Here is a 19,082-nt window from a genome sequence, read left to right as displayed (position 1 = left end):
TTAGATTGATTTTATAATGGCTTTTTTTTTTTCTTGACACAGGATCTTACTCTATTGCCCAAGCTGGAGTACAGTGGCACGCACCATCTTAGCTTTACTGTAGCCATAAACTCCTAGGCTCAAGTGATCCTTCCATCCCAGCCTTCCAAGTAGCTGGAACTATAGGTGTGTGCTACCACACCTGGCTAATTTTTAAATTTTTTTGTGGAGACAGAATCTCACTGTTTTGTCCAAGCTGGTCTTGAACTCGTGGCCTTAAGTGATTCTCCCATTTTGCCCTCCCAAAATACTGAGATTATGAGCATTAGCCACCACACCTAGTCATGGCTTTTCTTAAAATGGAGTCTGTGTAGTTTCTCAAATGCTAAGCTTTGTTATCAATTTTCCTTTTTTTTTTCATTTTTTAACTTTATTTATTTGTTTATTTATTTATTTTGGAGACAGAGTCTCGCTCTGTCACCCAGGCTGGAGTGTAGTGGCGCAATCTCAGCTCACTGCAACCTCCCCCTCCTAGGTTCAAGCAATTCTCCTGCCTCAGCCTCCCAAGTAGCTGGGACTACAGGTGCGTACCGCCACGCCCAGCTAGTTTTTTGTATGTTAGTAGAGGGGATTTCACCGTGTTGCCCAGGCTGGTCTCAAACTCCTGAGCTCAGGCAATCCGCCCGCCTCAGCCTCCCAAAGTGCTGGGATTACAGGTGTGAGCCACCACGCCTGGCCTCCTTAAACCATTCTTTTAAAAAATGATAACTACTTATAAAGTAAAGCCAAGGTTTCCCTTGACCCTTCTCCCTTCTAACTGACATGAGAACTACTGTAGTCAGTTTGGGGCATGTTGATCCCAATTAGTTTTCAATGCTGTTAGGTGCATCTACAGATAGAAATTGTTTGGTCTTTTTTTTTGTTTTTTTAATGTTAACAGGTGTGAGGCTCTTTCATTTAATGTGTATTGAAATCCTTAGAGAACATGTCTATGTTGGTTTTTTCCAGCTGCCTTAGGAATGTACCACAAACTAGATGGCTTAAAACAACAGAACTTTATTCTGTCACTGTTCTGGATGCTAGAAGTTCTATATCAAGGTGTTGGTTGGGCCACATTCTCTCTGAAGGCTCTAGGGAAGAATCTTTCCTTGACTTTCCCCACTTCTGGTGGCTCTAGGTGTTCCTTGGTTTGTGGTTGCATCACTCCAATCTCTGCCTCTGTTGTCACGTGGTGTTCCCCTTTCTGTGTCTCTCTCCTTTCTCTTACAAAGATGCTTGTTAGTGGGTTTAAGGCCCACCTGGATAATCCAGGATGATCTCATCTTGAGATCTTTCACTTAATTACATCTGCAGAGATCCTTTTTCCAAATAAGGAAATATATATTTATAGATATATAATATATATACACATACATATATGTGCGCATATATATATACACACATCCCTTATTCGTTTTAAGCACTGCACGGTATGCCATAGTATGCATTCAGTAAATGTCTGAGTGCCAGCTGTGTATCAGTTACTGTTTTAGGCTTTGGGGCTACAGCCATGGACAAATCACACATAAACCTGTGCCTTGTGGAGCCAGCGTTCCAGTAGTGTGGATTTGGCCATGACCTGTATTGCCATTTCCTTACTGGCAGACACGTGGTTTATTTCCTTTTTATGCAATTACAAATAGGGCTACAGTGGACATTCTTGTCCATGTCCTTTGTGCCTAAGTGCATTGTGACTGCTAGGACCAAAGATATGTGTTTTTTATATTATAAAAAACGCTGCCAAATTGTTTTCCAAAGTGGATTTGCCATTATGCACTGTCACTGATGTTGTTATAATAGTACCTGTTTTCCCAGACCCACGCCAACACTGAATTTTATCAATAAAAATATTTTACCAATATGATGGACAAAATAATATCTCATTGCTTATTATGCATTCCCCTGATTGTAGTCAAATGGAGCATCATATATTTACTGGCCATTTGCATTTGCCTCTTTGGTAAATTGTTCACATTCTTCCCCCATTTTTCTGCCAGATTGCTTGCCTTTTAAAAATGGGTTTATTAAGATCTCTTTGTATTATATATTGAGTTGAGAAAGTCAAGGGCTTTGGAGTCAGACTTCTTGGGTCTAAACTCTACCTCTGCCACTTCTGAACTGTCACCTTGGGTAAGTCACCTGACTTGTCTGCACCTCAGTTTCCTTATCTCTTACATGAAGATAATAAGAAGCCCTACCTCCTAGGATCACTGTAAGGATGACATGGGAGGAGCCATGTGAAGCACTCAGCACAGTCCTTGGAACAAGGTGAGTGCTCAGTAAGCATTAGCCTTACTGTTGTTCTTTGACTGACTTGATTGGAAGGACTGACTGTGGCTGGGCCTGTGGTGTAAGAGTCAAGCAGACCTAAATCGGGTGACAAACTCAACACAATTCCTGACAAAATCCCAGATGGATTTTTTGCAGAAGTGGATAAGCTGACCTTAAAATTCATATGGAAATTCAAAGGACTCAGAATAGCCAAACAATCTTGAAAAACAAGAAAATGATGGAGAACTTATCAATTGTAGCACTGACTATAGACCTACAATAATCAAGATAGTGGGCTACTGGCTAGAGATCAATGGAATAGAACTGAGAGTCTAGAAATAAACCCTTAGATCTATGGTCAGTTGATTTTTGACAAAGACGCCAAGACCTATTCAAAGTGAAAAGAACAGTCAATCTTCAACAAACAGTGCTTAGGACCATAGGATATCTACATGCAAAAGAATGAAGTTGGACCGTTACCTCACACCATACACAAAAATTAACTCCAAATTGATCATAAACCTGGAAGTATAAGTCTCTTAGAAGTTAATTTTTGTGTACAGTGTGAGGTGAGCGGTTTGGGCATTCTCAGGTCTTTCCTGGATATTCATGCTGTCCTCTGCATGCAGGTGTCCTCTTAGATCCCCAGGAAAATAAATACACTTAATTTATTAGCAATGATGGTTTTAATGAAATCATTTAACATCTCCAAAACAAACAGGACCAAAACAAACTTGATAAATATAAATAGACTTTCAATAAATTTGTCAACTTCTTGATGGGAACTTTTAAAATCTCAGCATATCATACCTCCAATCGACAGGGACTTTTTAATATATAAAATCCCTTTTTGAGTCTTGTGCTGACCCATCTGATCTTCCTCATCAGCACCCATCAGCCAGTGTCTCTGGGAACCCCTAGAACCACCTGTATGTGATGTATGTGTTTGAATGACAGCCCACAAGACCACATCATGCTGCCACCCTTTTTTCTATCTTAGCTTATGTTTCTCGTAACTGAGGTTTCAAAGAGATAGGCCTCTCCACCTCACCTTGGTCCAGATACTTATCTTGCAGAGAATGTTCTTCTCTGCACGTTGTGCATTCCTCTGCTTGTTTTAAAAACCCCTGAACCACCTAGGCCAGAGATTGTATCGTAAATGACCTTTATTTATTTATTCACCAATGTTTTTTGAGTGCCGGCTTGCTGCTAGGTGCTAGGCCTAACAATGTGGAAGAGGTCACTGCCCTTATGAATTGTTTTCTCTGGAAGGAGACATACAGTACCTAAAATATTTTCAGATATTGCTGAGTACTCTCAACCAAATTCAAGGGGGTGATGGGATAGCAAGCGCCCAAGATTAGGGGCAGCTACTTTAAAATTAAGTGGTGAAGGCATCTCTGAGGAGAGGTAATGTGCAAGGAAGTGAGGAAGGAGACTTCGAGGCCAAGAGATCAGCTGTAAGAGTTCTGAGGCAGAGAAGAGCCAGGCTTACTCTGTGGCCCGGAAGGCAGCCTGTGTGGCTGGAGTTTGGAGAATGTTGGAGAAAAGACAGAGAAGTTGTCAGGGGACAGATCACACAGGATCTTACTAGTATATTCACAAGGTTGCACAACCATCACTACAGTCTGTTTTAGAACACTTTTATTACTTCAAAAAGAAACATTGTATCCTTTACCTATCACTTCCCAATCCCCCAATTCTTCTTGTTTCCACCCCTCACCCCCAAGCAACCACTAATCTCTTTCTGTCTCCATGGACTTCCCTATTCTGAATATTTCATATCAATGGAATCATTCAATATGTGGACTTTATGTTTGGCTGCTTTCACTTAGTGTAATGTTTTCAAGGCTCATCCATGTTGCTTTCAGAGTCCTCCACCACTCTCACCATCTCTTCCTTTCTCTCTGTGTGTGTAATCATCTCATGGGGGAACACACTTCTGATTCTGCCAAATAAAGCTTCTTATGAATGTCCCCATTCCCTGGGAATACCATGGGCCCTGTATTAGTCCATTTGTGCTGCCATAACAAAATGCCTTTGACTAGATACTTTATAAATAACAGAAATATATTGCTCACAGCTCTGGAGGCTGGGAAGTCCAAGATCAAGGTGCTGGCATATTCAGTGTCTGGTGAGGGCTGCTCTGTGCTTCATAAATGGTGCCTTCTAGCTGTGTTCTCACATGGCAGAAGGGGCAAAAGGGCTGCCTCAAGCCTCTTTTATCAGGGCACTAATCCCATTTGTGAGAACGGTGCCCTTTGTGACCTAATCACCTCCCCAAAGTCCTCACCTTTGAATACCATCAGTATGGGGGTTAAGTTTCAACATGAATTTGGGGCTGGGTGCGGGGGACATATACATTCAGACCAAGCAGTTACCATTATTAAGCCACACCTGGGGGAACCCACCCTGTTTTTACTGTTTCGGTACAGCACGATATTACAGAGAATCACTCCTGGTCAGAGTGCCATATTGCTGGAAGCATTTGCTGAGCAGCTAAGAATTTTTTCTGAGTTTGTCATTTTGAGAAAGGCTTCACAGAAATGGGTCTCTTTATTTTAGGAGCTAAGTGTTTTGATGAAGTTGACCTACTATTCTTAGTCCTTGATAAGTAGACTCTTCTCATCTCAATTACGAATAAGAAATCCCATTTAAAGACTTACAACACAAAAATCTGTAGTTAATAGTTTCTAAAAATGTGCATAAATTGAAGCTCTTGTTCTACATCAATACAAGCTTGGGCTCTGACACAACAACTGATTCCACATGCATGTAGGGACTGCTGTCTCTTGAATGGCACCTGCAGATCTTCAGAGAAACGAGACGTTTCCAGAACTGGAATTGCAGGGCAGAACTGCACAAGTAATCAAGACTGTGTGGAACTATGTGGTACCGTAATTAAGACTGTGTGGTACTGGCATCGCATAGGTCAATGGAATAGAATTGAGAGTCTGAAAATAAACCTTTATATTTATGGTCAGTTAATTTTCTTTAAGACAGATAAACAAATACTTTTACACAAGAGTTGTTTGAGTCATGCAAATTTTAAGCTAATATTTACATAAGTGGCAATTGCTTTTCTGGAACTTGCTCAAATAATGGTTTCAGTAATTTCTCTTTTTTACCTATCTATATCATAATATAATTATACATAAACAAACTCATTTAGACAAGTTATACTCTTGCATTTTACTGGTACAAAGTCAAATGGAAATTAGAGACAAAATTATCTCTAAACTGATGATGAGATAGATTAAATATATACATAGATACGCATGCATAATGACTACAGGTTATCACATGTGGTTCTCTTACCATAAATATCCATTCACTGGGGTGTGTGGTCTTCACAGTGAGGTATGAGTTAGGGTACCCAAAATCTTCCTAAGGAGTAGTGTGCAAACATTATCATTTTAAGGGAAAGACTTCCCATATTCTCAACTTCCAAATACAGTTTTTACTAAAACAGCTAACTGCAACAACCCCCTTGCTATGGTTTGGAAGTTTTTCCCCTCCAAAATTCATGTTGAAATTTAATTCCCAATGTGGCAGTATTGACAGGCAAGGTTTCTTCTTCTTCTTCTTCTTCTTCCTCTTCCTCTTCCTCTTCCTCTTCTTCTTCTTCCTCTTCCTCTTCTTCTTCTTCTTCTTCTTCTTCTCCTCCTTCTTCTCCTCCTTCTTCTCCTTCTTCTTCTCCTCCTTCTTCTTCTCCTCCTTCTCCTCCTCCTCCTCCTCCTTCTTTCTTCTTCTTCCTTCTTCCTTCTTTCTTCTTCTTTCTTCTTCCTTCCTTCTTCTTCTTCTTTCTTCTTCTTCTTTCTTCTTTCTTCTTCTTCTTTCTTCTTTCTTCTTCTTCTTTCTTCTTTCTTCTTCTTCTCTTTTCTTCTTCTTTTCTTCTTCTTTCTTCTTCTTCTTCTTCTTTCTTCTTCTTCTTCTTCTTCCTTCTTCCTTCTTCCTTCTTTCTTCTTCTTCTTCTCCTCCTCCTCCTCCTCCTCCTCTTCTTCTTCTTCTTCCTTTCTCCTCCTCCTCCTCCTCCTTCCTTCTTCCTCCTCCTCCTCCTTCTTCTTTCTTCTTCTTCCTCTTCCTCCTCCTCTTCCTCCTCCTCTTCTTCTTCCTCCTCCTCCTTCTCCTCCTCCTCCTCCTCCTCCTCCTTCCTTCTTCTCCTCCTCCTCCTCCTCCTTCCTTCTTCCTTCTTCCTTCTTCCTTCTTCTTTCTTCTTCTTCCTCTTCCTCCTCCTCTTCCTCCTCCTCTTCTTCTTCCTCCTCCTCCTCCTCCTCTTCCTCTTCCTCCTCCTCCTCTTCTTCTTCTTCTTCTTTTTTTTCTACAAATGAGACAGGGTCTCGCTATGTTGCCTAGGCTAGACTTGAACTCCTAGGCTCAAGTGGTCCTCCCACCTCAGCCTCCTGAGTAAGAGGTGATTGGGTCATGAGGGTTCTGCCCTCATGAATGAATTAACCCATTCATGGATTAATAGGTGAATGGATTAGTAGGTTATCATGGGAGTGGGACTAGTGGCTTTATAAGAAGGGAAAGAGAGACCTGAGCTAGCAACCAGCCCCACTTGGCATTTGATGTCCTGTGCCACCTTGAGGCTCTGCAGAGAGTCCCCACCTGCAAGAAGGCCCTCACTCACAAAATGCAGCACCTCAACCTTGGACTTCTCATCCTCTATGACTGTAAGAAATAAATTCCTCTTTTTTATAAATTACCCAGTTTCAGCTGGGCGTGGTGGCTCACACCTGTAATTCCAGCACTTGGGGAGGGTGAGGCAGGTGGATCACTTGGGGTCAGGAGTTTGAGACCAGCCTGGCCAACATGGTGAAACCCCGTCTCTACTAAAAATACAAAAATTAGCTGGGCGTGGTGGCACATGTCTGTAATCCCAGCTACTTGGGAGGCTGAGGCAGGAGAATCACTTGAACCTGGGAGACAGAGGTTGCAGTGAGCCAAGATTGCACCACTGCACTCCAGCCTGAGCGACAGAGTGAGATTCCGCCTCAACAATAAATAAATACATAACTAAATAAATAACCAACCAACCAACCCAGTTTCAGGTATTCTGTTATAAGCAGCAGAAAAAAGACTAAGACATTGTGTTAGTCCATTCTCATGCTGCTAATAAAGACATACCTGAAACTGGGTAATTTATAAAGGAGAGAGTTAATTGACTCATAGTTCAGCATGGCTGTGGAGGCCTCAGGAAACTTACAATCATGGTCGAAGGAGAAGCAAACATGTCCTTCATATGGAAGCAGCAAGAAGAAGTGCAGAGTGAAGGGGGAGAAAAGCTCCTTATAAAACCATCCAATCTTGTGAGAACTCACTATCACAAGAACAGCATGAGGGTAACCTCCCCCATGATTCAATTACCTCCCACTGGGTCCCTCCCATGACACGTGGGGATTATGAGAACTACAATTCAAGATGAGATTTGGGAGAGAACACAGCCAAACCATATCAGACATCCTTCTTTAAAAAAATAATTTATTGAGGTAAAATCATACAATGTAAAATTAACCATTTTATTTTTAAAATTTATTGTGTATATTTGAGGTATATAACATGATATTATGAGACACATATACAACTTGGTAAATAGTTACTCTAGTGAAGCAAGTTAATATATCCATCATTTCACATAATTACCCATTTTTTTTGTTGGACAAGAAGAGCAATATTTCATTTAGCAAAAATTCCGAATACAGTACAATGTTATTAGCTATAGTCCTCATGTTTTACATTAGATCACTAGACTTGTTCATCTTACATATCTGCTACTTTGTATCTTTTACCCTTCATTTAAAAGTGAGCAATTAAGTGGCATTTTAGGATATTCTTAATGTTGTACAACCACCTCCTTTATCCAGTTCCAAAACATTTCCATCACTTCACAGCAAAAATCCCTTACCTATCAAGCAGTTTCTCTCTATTCTTTTATCCTCCCAACCCCAAATAACCACCAACCTACTTTCTGTATCTGTGAATTTATCCTGGATATTTTATATAAATGGAACTGGACAGCATGTAGCCTTTTGTGCCTGGCTTCTTTTGTGTAGCATAATGTTTTGGAGGCACTTCCATGTTGTAGCATGTATAAGTACTTCATTCCTTTTTATGGCTAAGTAATACTCCATTGTGTAGACATACCACAATTTTGTTTATCCACTCATCAGTTGATGGACATTTGGTTGTTTCCACCTCTTAGCTTATGAATAATGTTACTATGAACATGCTATATACACGTACTTATTTGAATACCTGTTTTAAATTCTTTTCGATATATACCTAGGAGTAGAATTTCTGGTTACTATGGTCATTCTGTTTAACTTTTTGAGGAATTGCCAAATTGTTTTCCACAGTGGCTGAAGCATTTTACATTCCCATCAGTAATGTATGAGGGTTCCAATTTATCTGCATCCTTGCCAACTTGTTTATTTATTTTTTTTAAATGAAAGCCATCCTAGTGTCTGTGAGGTGGGACCTCACTGTGGTTTTCATTTGCGTTTCCCTAAAGACTAATGACTAATGATCTCTTTATACATTTATCATATGTATGATTTGCAAATTTTCTCCTATTTTGTAGATTGTCTTTTCACTTTCTTGATAATGTCCTTAGATGCACAAAAATTTTAAATTTTGATTAATGTGTAATTTATGTGTTTTTTCTTTTGTTGCCCATGCTTTGCATGTCATTGCTAAGTATCCATTGCCAAATCAAAGGTCATGAGGATTTACCCATATGTTTTCTTCTAAGAGTGGTTTTAGTTCATATATTTAGATGTTTGGTCCATTTGAGTTAATTTTTGTATATGGTGAGAAGTAGTGGTCCAGTTTTGTTAACATATGGTTATCCAGCTGTCTGAGCACCATTTGTTGAGAAGACTGTCCTTTCTCCATTGAATGGTGTTGGCATCCTGTTGAAAATCAATTGACCATAAATATGAAGGTTTACTTCTAGACTCTCAATCCTATAACATTGATCTATATGTGTATTCTTAAGCTAGTTCCACACTATTTTGGTTACTGTAGCTTTGTAGTAAGTTTTGAAATTGAGAGGTGTGACTGCTATTTTGCTCTTTTTTTAAAGATCGATTTGGCTATTTAGGGTCCCATGCAATTCCATGTGGATATTAGGATTAGCTTGTCCATTTCTGCACAAAAGGCAGTTGGTATTTTGATGGGGATTGCACAGGATCTGCAGATTAATTTGGGAAATATTGCCATTTTAACAGTATTGAGTCTTGTAATCTATGGACGTAGGATTTCATTCCATTAATTTAGGTCTTTAATTTTTTAACAGTGTGTTGTAACTTTTAGTGTACATGTCTTTATACTTCCTTGGTTAAATTTATTTCTAACAGTTTTATTCTTTTTATTGCTATTATAAATGAAATTATTTTCTTCTTTTGCTCCTTGTATTGATCATTGCTAGTGTATAGAAATACAGCTGATTTTCATGTTGATCTTATATCTTGCAACTTTGCTGAACTCATTAGTTTTAATAGTTTTTTTTATTGATGTGGATTCTTTAGGGTTTTCTATATATAAAATCATAGCATCTGTGAATAGAGATAGTTGAACTTCTTCCTTTCTAATCTCAAAGAGTTTCTTTCTTTTTCTTGACTAATTGCTCTAGTTAGAACTTCCATTACAATGTTGAATAAGAGTGGTAAGAGTGGACATCCTTGTCTTGTTGCTGATTCTAGGAAAAAAGCTTTTAGTCTTTCACCTGTAAGTATGCTGTCAATTGCAGATTTTTCACAGATGCCCTTTATCAGGTTGAGGAAATTCTCTTTTATTTCTAGGAAGTTAACAGATGAGGCCAAAATAAACCATCTAAATGCTTTTAAAAATCCAATAGAGTAAGCCTAATTATCATTAAAAAGCACATAGAGAGTAGACTCTGATGAAGTAAGCAGAACAAAATGGGAAATTCTCTTCTATTCCTAATTCATTGAGTGTTTTTATCATGAAATGGTGGTTGACTTTCGTTAAATGCCTTTTCTGCATCTATGGAGGTAATCTTTTTTTTTTTTTTCTCCTTCCATTCTATTAATATGGGATAGTACATTGATTGATTTTACTGTGTTGAACTACTCTTACATTCCTGAGATAAACCCCTCTTGGTCATGGTCAGTCCTAATATGGTGCTGGATTTGGTTTGCTAGTATTTTATTGAGGATTTTTGCCTCTACATTCATAAGAGGATTTTTGCCCCTATATTCATAACTGTATTCTGTAGTTTTTATGTGTATTTGTCTGACTTCGGTATTAACATACTACTGGCCTGATAGAATGAGTTAGGAAGTGTTCTCTTCTCTTGGTTTGTTTGTTTATTTACTTATTTGAAGAGTTTGAGATTAATTGGTGTTGGTTCTTTTTTAAATGTTTGGTAGAATTCAGCAATTAAGACTTCTGGTTCCAGAATTTTATTTGTGGGAAGTTTTTGGTTACTGACTCAATCTCTTGCTATAAGTCTAGTCAGATTTTCTATTTCTTCTCAAGTCAGTTTAGGTAGTTGTGTTTTAATAGGAAGTTATCTGTTTCATCTAGGTTATTGAATTTATTTGGATTATAATTGTTCAAGATATTCCTTTATAATTTTTTATTTCTCTAAGGTTGGTAGTAATGTCCTCTCATTCCTGAAATTAGCGATTTGGGTCTTCTCTCTCTTTATCTTGGTAAGTCTTCTACAGTTTATCAATTTTGTTGATCTTAAGAGATCTTTCCTCTTTTGTTCTTTATTTTTCTCTTCTCTCTTTCATTTTATTTCCGCTATAATCTTTGGTGTTTTCTTCCTCTGCCTGCTTTAGGTTTAGTTTGCTCTTCTTTTTCTAGTTACTCTTTAAAATTGTTATGTAGGTTTTATTTTATAATAATGAACTTAACTCTGCAATCCAGCTAGACATGGAAGGGAATAAGGAAAATATGGAACCCAAAGAGCTTCAGTGAGTGCACAAAGATTATAGGATATTGAGAGCAAATGGAATTGAGGGGTGCTCTCTTGAGCTACAGAGGAAATAGTCTGGTGGTTAAGATAAAACAGGTCAAATTTATTAGAGTTGTCCATATTTGGCAATGGTGATCTTCTTGCTGGTCTTGCCATTCCTGGACCCAAAGTGCTCCATGGCTTCTGTGGCATTCATGGCCTCTTTGACCTTGCCAAAGACCACATACCTGCCATTCAACCACTCAGTCTTGGCAGTGGAGATGAAAAACTGGGAACCATTTGTATTCGGTCTACCATTTGCTGTGGGCAAGATGCCAGGACTTGTATGCTTCAGGTTGAAGTTCTCATCATCAAGTTTCTCCTGGTAGTTAGATTTGCCACCATTACTATTATGGCATGTGAAGTCCCCACCCTAGCACATAAACCCTGGAATAATTCTAGGAAAGTAAGAACCCTTATAACCAAATCCTTTCTCTCCAGTGCTCAGAGCATAAAAGTTTCCTGCTGTCTTTGGAACTTGTCTGCAAACAGTTTGAAGGAGACCTGGCCCAAGGACTCACCTTAGACAGCGACGGTGTCAAAGAACACAGTGGACTGGACCGGGGTTGACGATGGCAGTGTCTGCAAAGCCTTCTTTTTCTAGTTTATTAAAGTGAAAGTTTAGGTTATCGATTTGAGATCTTTCTCTTTTTTTAATGTAGGCATTTACAGCTATAAATTTCCCTCTAAGCACTGCTTTCAGTGTAACACATAAGTTTTGGTATGTTGTGTTTTCATTTTCATTGATCTCAAAGTATTTCATAATTTCCCTTGTGGTTTTTTTTGACCTATTGGTTGTTTAGGAGTGTGCTCTTTAATTCCGTATAATTGTGAATTTTCCAAATACCCTTCTGAAACTGATCTCTACTTTCATTCTGTTGTGCTGAAGAACATAATTTGTTTGTGCTGAAGAGCATAATTTGTATGGCTTCAGTCTTTTTAAGTTTATTGAGATTTATTTTGTAACCTACATATGGTCTACCTTGAAGAATGTTTCACATGCACTTGAGTAGAATGTGTATTTTGCTATTGGGTGGTATGTTCTATAGGTGTCTGTTAGGTCTAGTTGGTTTATAAAGTTGTTCAAGTCATATATATATATATATATATATCTGCCTACTTGTTTCTTCTGTGATTGAAAAGAAGATATTGAAATTTCCAACTATTTTTGTTAAATCATCTGTTCTCTTCAATTTTGCAATTTTTTGCTTCATGTATTTTGGGGCTGTGTTGTTAGGTGCATATATATTTAAAATTATTATGTCTTCCTCTTGGATTGATCCTTTCATCATTATAAATAATTATAAATTGTCACTCTTTGACTCCATTAACAATTTTTGTTATAATGTAAATCTTATCTGATATTAGTATAGCTGCTCCAGCTCTCTTATGGTTGTTGTTTGCATAGTATATCTTCTTCCATTCTTTTACTTTCAACTTATGTTTTTTAGAGATGGGGTCTTGCTTTGTTGCCCAGGCTGGAGTGCAGTGGCTATTCACAGGCATGATCATAGTGCATTATAGCCTCAAACTTATGGGCTTAAGCAATTCTCCTCCCTGATATTCCCAAGTAGCTAGGACTACAGGCACATGACACTACACCTGACCTCAACTTATTTCTATTTTTGCTGTTTGTTTTCTGAATAGTCAATAATTATTGGGTACTCGCTGTATTCAAAGCTAAACCTGTTTCACCTTTGCCTTTCCCATTCCTTAAATCTTTTTCTCTGATATTTTCAATAGTGAGAATATGTGCAACATAGTCTTGATGTTTATGAAAAGAAACTATTGGAAAAACTTCATGCACATTGTATAATTCTTGTGAAAGTTATCTACAATTTTTAAGGAATGTGGTTGAGCTCAAAAGACCTAATATTTCCAGTAGTAACCACACTTATTTTTTTTTATTTGCTAATTGTTATTTGCTTTTGAGGATCTTAATATGTTAACTTTATGTGGATAATTTTTTTTAAATCGTCAATTAGCTCATTGTCTTTATTAAATTACTTATATAATACAACTTAAGGGACCCAGAAGTGTGCTGCAAGCCTCTTGGGGTCACCACTTTTATTTTTATTTATTTATTTATTTATTTATTTATTTTTATTTTATTATTATTATACTTTAAGTTTTAGGGTACATGTGCACAATGTGCAGGTTAGTTACATATGTATACATGTGCCATGCTGGTGTGCTGCACCCATTAACTCGTCATTTAGCATTAGGTATATCTCCTAAAGCTATCCCTCCCCCCTCCCCCCACCCCACAACAGTCCCCAGAGTGTGATGTTCCCCTTCCTGTGTCCATGTGTTCTCATTGTTCAATTCCCACCTATGAGTGAGAATATGCGGTGTTTGGTTTTTTGTTCTTGCGATAGTTTACTGAGGATGATGGTTTCCAATTTCATCCATGTCCCTACAGAGGACATGAACTCACCCTTTTCTATGGCTGTATAGTATTCCATGGTGTATATGTGCCACATTTTCTTATTCCAGTCTATCATTGTTGGACATTTGGGTTGGTTCCAAGTCTTTGCTATTGTGAATAGTGCCGCAATAAACATACGTGTGCATGTGTCTTTATAGCAGCATGATTTATAGTCCTTTGGGTATATACCCAGTAATGGGATGGCTGGGTCAAATGGTATTTCTAGTTCTAGATCCCTGAGGAATCGCCACACTGACTTCCACAAGGGTTGAACTAGTTTACAGTCCCACCAATGGTGTAAAAGTGTTCTACACTTATATAAAATATTGTGTGCATGTCTTGTAACCACTTTCAGTTTATGAAATACTCCCATATTCCACTAGGAATGTAACCTCAGTCTATCCCTGAGCAGGATTATCTATGTTTAAAGTGCCAGGTTGATAGTTGTGGAACCAAGGCTTGGAGCCCTCAAGGATCATGCTCAGGCTGTGGAACTCCCTGGACCACGTGCCATCTCCAGCAGATCTGGGTGCAAGCCCAGGTTCACTAATCACCAGGTCACATGTGAGACCATGTCCACCTCACCACCCTCAGCCTCCAAAGAAAAGTGAGCAGAACTCTTCTCATTTAAACCTATATCATTTTGTCATCCTTTTCAGTGTGATTCTCTGGAGCTCCTAGCTAGAGGGGCCTCAAGGACCAAGACAAGGATATTCTACTCACAATGTGACTTCCCCAAGTCATAAAGTAGCTGCTGTGTTTTGTTACTAAACGTGCTCCCCTTGCTGTCCTCCCTCTCCCTTTTAGAGCCATGGGACCACACCACCACCACCACAACCAATAGGCCAGGAACCACCAGAGCTCCGGCAAAACCTCCAGGTAATGTGGCTGCCTTAAGGAGGGCAGTGAGGAAGGGCCCTCTGGAGTTCCCTCTGGGGTAGCATGCAAGTGAACTACCTACAGTTTTAAGCCCCATGTGTGCAGAAACAATCAAGGCATCCATGTGAACACTGAGTTTAACTTTATAATAGAGTGCATACCTGGCTGATCACTATGCCTTCTGTGTGTTTTATGAAAAGTCCTGCCTGGGAAAATTTCAAGAGGAAAATGCATTTGGACTTCTTCCCCTTTTTAGCCGTTTCATTTTCTAAAATCAGGGAAAATGTAATTGTTTAGGTTTTATGAAGCCGATCAAGCATTTTCTTTAGGCAGATGGAACATTTTGGAATGGCATTTATTTTACAGTGTCATCTTTCAGTAAAGGATTTTGGGACTTGGTTCTTCTTAACAACTCTTTCCTGTTGTCACTTGACCCTTTCTTCAGATGGGCCACTTTACGATTTAGACATCTTCACTGATGTAAAGAAAAATGTGACGGTGTGGCTGGGATCCCAGTCATTGCTCCCATCCAGCAACTTGTTACCAGTAGTCGGGGGCATGATAATACGTTCTGTGCGGTAGAGAGCTACCTTTCTTCCGAAGAGACACTGATGATGCAAGAAAGTCACTGCTGCTTTATGATTTGCCCTCATTTCTTCACATTTCCACATTCAAAGGGGTGCTTCATGACCACATGACCTCTCCCTTTTGGTTGTCCTCTTTATGGACTCTGTGTACCTGGTTTTGAATTTTGGGTTAATACCTACAGTCAGTGAGTATACTGTTAAAATGGTCCGACTGCTAGCCTAAGCAGAAAATACCTAGGAATATAAATTAATTGAAAAACTGGTGGTATACTGCAAAGTCAGAAAGTAGTAACTTTTTCTATCCTGCAGATATTTTCATTATCAATGTCTGTACACAGAATTGGATTCCAATATAAGTCTCTTTGTCTTAACCCATTGTTGGTATTGATCAGTTGAACCCATGGGCATTTTGCTTATTTTGGAATCTTATACCCAGTTGTTAATCAGTTGGCTGTTTCCTTTATGTTTTGGGGCCCACTGAAGGTAGTGGATTGGACTTGGCTGATGCTTTGGATGATCAAGATGATGGCCGCAGGAAACCGGGTATAGGAGGAAGAGGTAAGTCTTTGCTGGTTGAAACTACTACAGGATTCTGTCTCATTAATTACAACATCAACATCCCACAGAGCCAGAGTCAGTCTGGGCTTGGCAGAGGTGGAGGCACTTCAAGCCACTGGAGAACCCTGTAACAGTAGTTCTCAAACCTTTTTTGTCTCAGGACTCCCCAAATCATTGAGATCTCAAGAGATTTTTGTTTATGTGGGTCACGTTTACCAATGCTCATCATCTTAGAATTTAAAACTGAAAGACTTTATTAATCTAAAATGAACAACACTAAACCCATACATTTAACATAAATAACATTTTTATGAGAAATAACTATGCTTGGTAAGACAAAAACTTATATTGAGGAGAGCGGCACGCTGTTACATTTTTGCAGATTTCTCTCATGTCTGGCTGGATGGAAGCAGCTGGCTTCTCACAGGCACTTTATTCCATCGTGAGATGTTGTTTTGGTTGAAGTATATGAAGGAAATCTGGCCTCACACCCATAGGCAGTGGGGAAAGGGAGGAATATTTTCACAGACTTTTCAGATCCTTGTGGATAATCTTCTCGGATAGGACACCAAAACTTGGCCCCAACAAAAGCGGTTGTTTCTTACAGGTTAAGCGTAGTGTGGAGTGTGAAACTCTGTCAGTGAACTTTGCACACTTGGTTCCGTGGGACTGTCTTGTCCTTTCAATGGATCTTTTACCCATTCATGGTTTTGTAACATTGCATGTTGGTCATTTGGAAAATATTAGTGCCTTGAGGTTTTTCGAGCTTCCAAGTAATGCCATGTGTCATTGTGTAAAACTGAAAGTCATATTTGTTCATATCATCACCCATCTCATTTGAAAAAAATATGCATTGGGGAAACTGTTAAACTCACAGTGGTAGAAAAAGATGTTTTTGAAGTTCTAACTTTTCCTTGAAATCTTATCATTGGCAACAAATACCATGAGTGGGTTTCTTTAAATTGACAGGCTCATTCATTTTCAAGAAAACATCTAACAGATATTAAAGTTGGCAAAACCATAGTTGGTTTTAAAAAATCTTTAAATATTGATTAATTACTCTTCAATTCACTTTTTCAAGGAAAAAATCTTCTTTGAGAGGAATGGCTCATACTGCTCAGAATGGAAATAATCACATAAAGCAGTTTTTTTATGTCAACTTTTGTATTTCCATGTGCCACATAAATGCTTGAAATGTACTTCCTGTTTTGTTAGAAAATATTAAAAGGTCGTGCTCTCATACAATTAAAACATTTTTAACTTCCTCATGTTAGTTTTCCAGTGCTGCTGAACATGCTATCATAAACTTAGTAGCTTAAAACCATGTTCACTTATTTTCTAGGTTTCCCTGCGCTGCTGAAGTTCAGCCATTTAAGTGTCAAAACTTTTTTGACAAAATGACCCTTGATTCTCAACTTTCTGTTTACCTACTTTTTAAAATTTAAACTTTCATTTTTAGATAATCATAGATTCGTGTGTAGTTGTAAGAAATAATAGAGAAGGACCCCTTGTACCCTTCACCCAGTTTCCCCTAATAGCAACATCTTGAAAATTGTACTCTACTATCATAGCCATATATTGACATAGATATAATCTATGCATTTATTCAAATTTCCTAGTTTTGTTTACACTCACATGTGTGTGTGTCTTCTCTGCAATTTTATCACGTGTGTAGGTTTGTGTATCTATCATCACAGTCAGATACAAACAGTTCCGTCACCATAAGTATCCCATGATTACATTTTATAACCACACCCACCTTCCTACAGTTCTATTTCCCCTTCCCCATCCCTTTCCTAACCCCTGGCAACCACTGATCTGTTTTCCATTTGTAAAATGTTGTCATTTCATGGCATTCAGTTTTGGGGGGAGGCAAAAAAAAAAGTTGTATTTCAAAAATGTTATGTAAATGTAATTATAAAGTAGATAACCCTTTGGAATTGGCCTTTTTCATGTATAATTCAGTTGGCATCCATTCATATTGTTGGGTGTATTAATTGCTCATTCATTCTTATTGCCAAGGAGTATTCCATGGGATGGATGTACCACAGTTTGTTTACTTGATGTATTGACCCCAGTTTTTGGCTATTATGAACAAGGCTGCTGTAAACTGTCATGTATAGTATTTTTGTGTGAACATAAATTTTTCTTTCTTTATGAATAAATGCCCAAGAGTGCAGTGACTGGATCACATGGTAGTTACATGTTTAGTTTTGTAAGAAATGATCAGTTTTCCATGAAGACTGTAATATTTTGCAATCCCTAATTCATTGTGTCAGTGCCATTTTCTCTGTATCTTCACCAGTATTTGGTGCTATCACTATTTCCATTTTAGCCATTTTATAAGTGTGTGGTAATATCTTATTGTGGTTTAGTTTGCATTTCTCTGGCTAATGATATTGAACACCTTTTCATGTATTTGTTTGCCATCTGTATATCCTTTTCAGTGGAATGTCTGTTCATGTTTTTGGTCCATTTTCTAATTAGATTTTTTGTTTTTCTTACTATTGAGTTTGAGAGTTCCTTAAATATTGTAGACATTTGTCCTTAGTCAGATATATGGTTTGCAAATATTTTCTTCCATTCTGTAGCTTGTCTTTTTATCCTCTTAACAGAGTCCTTTGCAGAAGTTTTAGATTTTGATGATGTTCAGTTTGTCAATTTTTCCTTTTATTGATCATACTTTTTTTTGTGTGTGTCCAAGACAGGGTCTCACTCTGTTGCCCAGGCTGCAGTGCAGTGGCATGATCGTGGTTCACTGCAGCCTTGACCTCCCGGGCTCAAGTGATCCTCCCACCTCAGCTTCCCAAGTAGCTGGGACTATAGTTGCACACCACCACACTTGGCTAATTTTTGTATTTTTTGCAGAGATAGGGTCTCACTATGTTGCCTAGGCTGGTCTTGAACTCTGGGCTCAAGCCATCTACCCACCTTAGCCTCCCAAAGTGCTAGGATTACAGGCATGAGCCACTGCACTTGGCCTGGATCATGCTTTTGATGCCAAGTCTAAGAACTCTTTGCCTATACCTAGGTTTTATAGATTTTCTCCTATGTTTTTTTTCCTGAAACTTCGCTTGCTTGCCTGTGAATGTCTAATTGTTCTAGGACCATTTGTTAAAAAGACTATCTGCCCGTTGAATTGTTTTTGAGCCTTAAAAAAATCATTTGGAATATAACTGTTTTTGTTGCACTTGGTATCCTTATATTTTGTTGAGGATTTTTGCATCTATATTACTAACAGAAATAGGTTTGTAGTTTTTCTTGTGATGTCTTTGTCTGGTTTTCATATCAGTGCACTACTGATTTCATTGGATTATTTAGGTAGTGTTGTCTCCTCTTATTTTCTGGAAGA

The 19,082-nt window shown here is 38.4% G+C and overlaps 1 protein-coding gene and 1 pseudogene across 8 annotated transcripts in view; one reads left to right on the top strand and one right to left on the bottom strand.

Moving 5' to 3' along the window:
• CD99L2 (CD99 molecule like 2) overlaps window positions 1-19,082 on the top strand; it is a 132,333-nt gene that overhangs the window by 68,077 nt on the left and 45,174 nt on the right. For 2 of the 8 annotated variants that reach the window (NM_001184808.2, NM_031462.4), the window contains exons 3-4: window positions 14,514-14,585; window positions 15,656-15,730. The exons of 2 other annotated variants lie outside the window; for them this stretch is intronic. In NM_001184808.2, the coding sequence (NP_001171737.1) occupies window positions 14,514-14,585; window positions 15,656-15,730 (147 nt within the window). Of the gene's footprint in view, window positions 1-987; window positions 1,078-2,223; window positions 2,287-13,976; window positions 14,314-14,513; window positions 14,586-15,643; window positions 15,731-19,082 lie in introns of those variants that run through there. 4 more of the 8 variants (XM_047442562.1, XM_047442560.1, XM_047442561.1 and 1 more) reach the window with 4 other exon arrangements.
• On the bottom strand, window positions 11,346-11,839 carry PPIAP91 (peptidylprolyl isomerase A pseudogene 91; annotated as a pseudogene).

Source organism: Homo sapiens, chromosome X (genome assembly GCF_000001405.40).
Source record: "Homo sapiens chromosome X, GRCh38.p14 Primary Assembly".
Lineage (NCBI taxonomy): Eukaryota > Metazoa > Chordata > Mammalia > Primates > Hominidae > Homo > Homo sapiens.
This window is presented reverse-complemented; position numbering and strand designations above follow the sequence as displayed.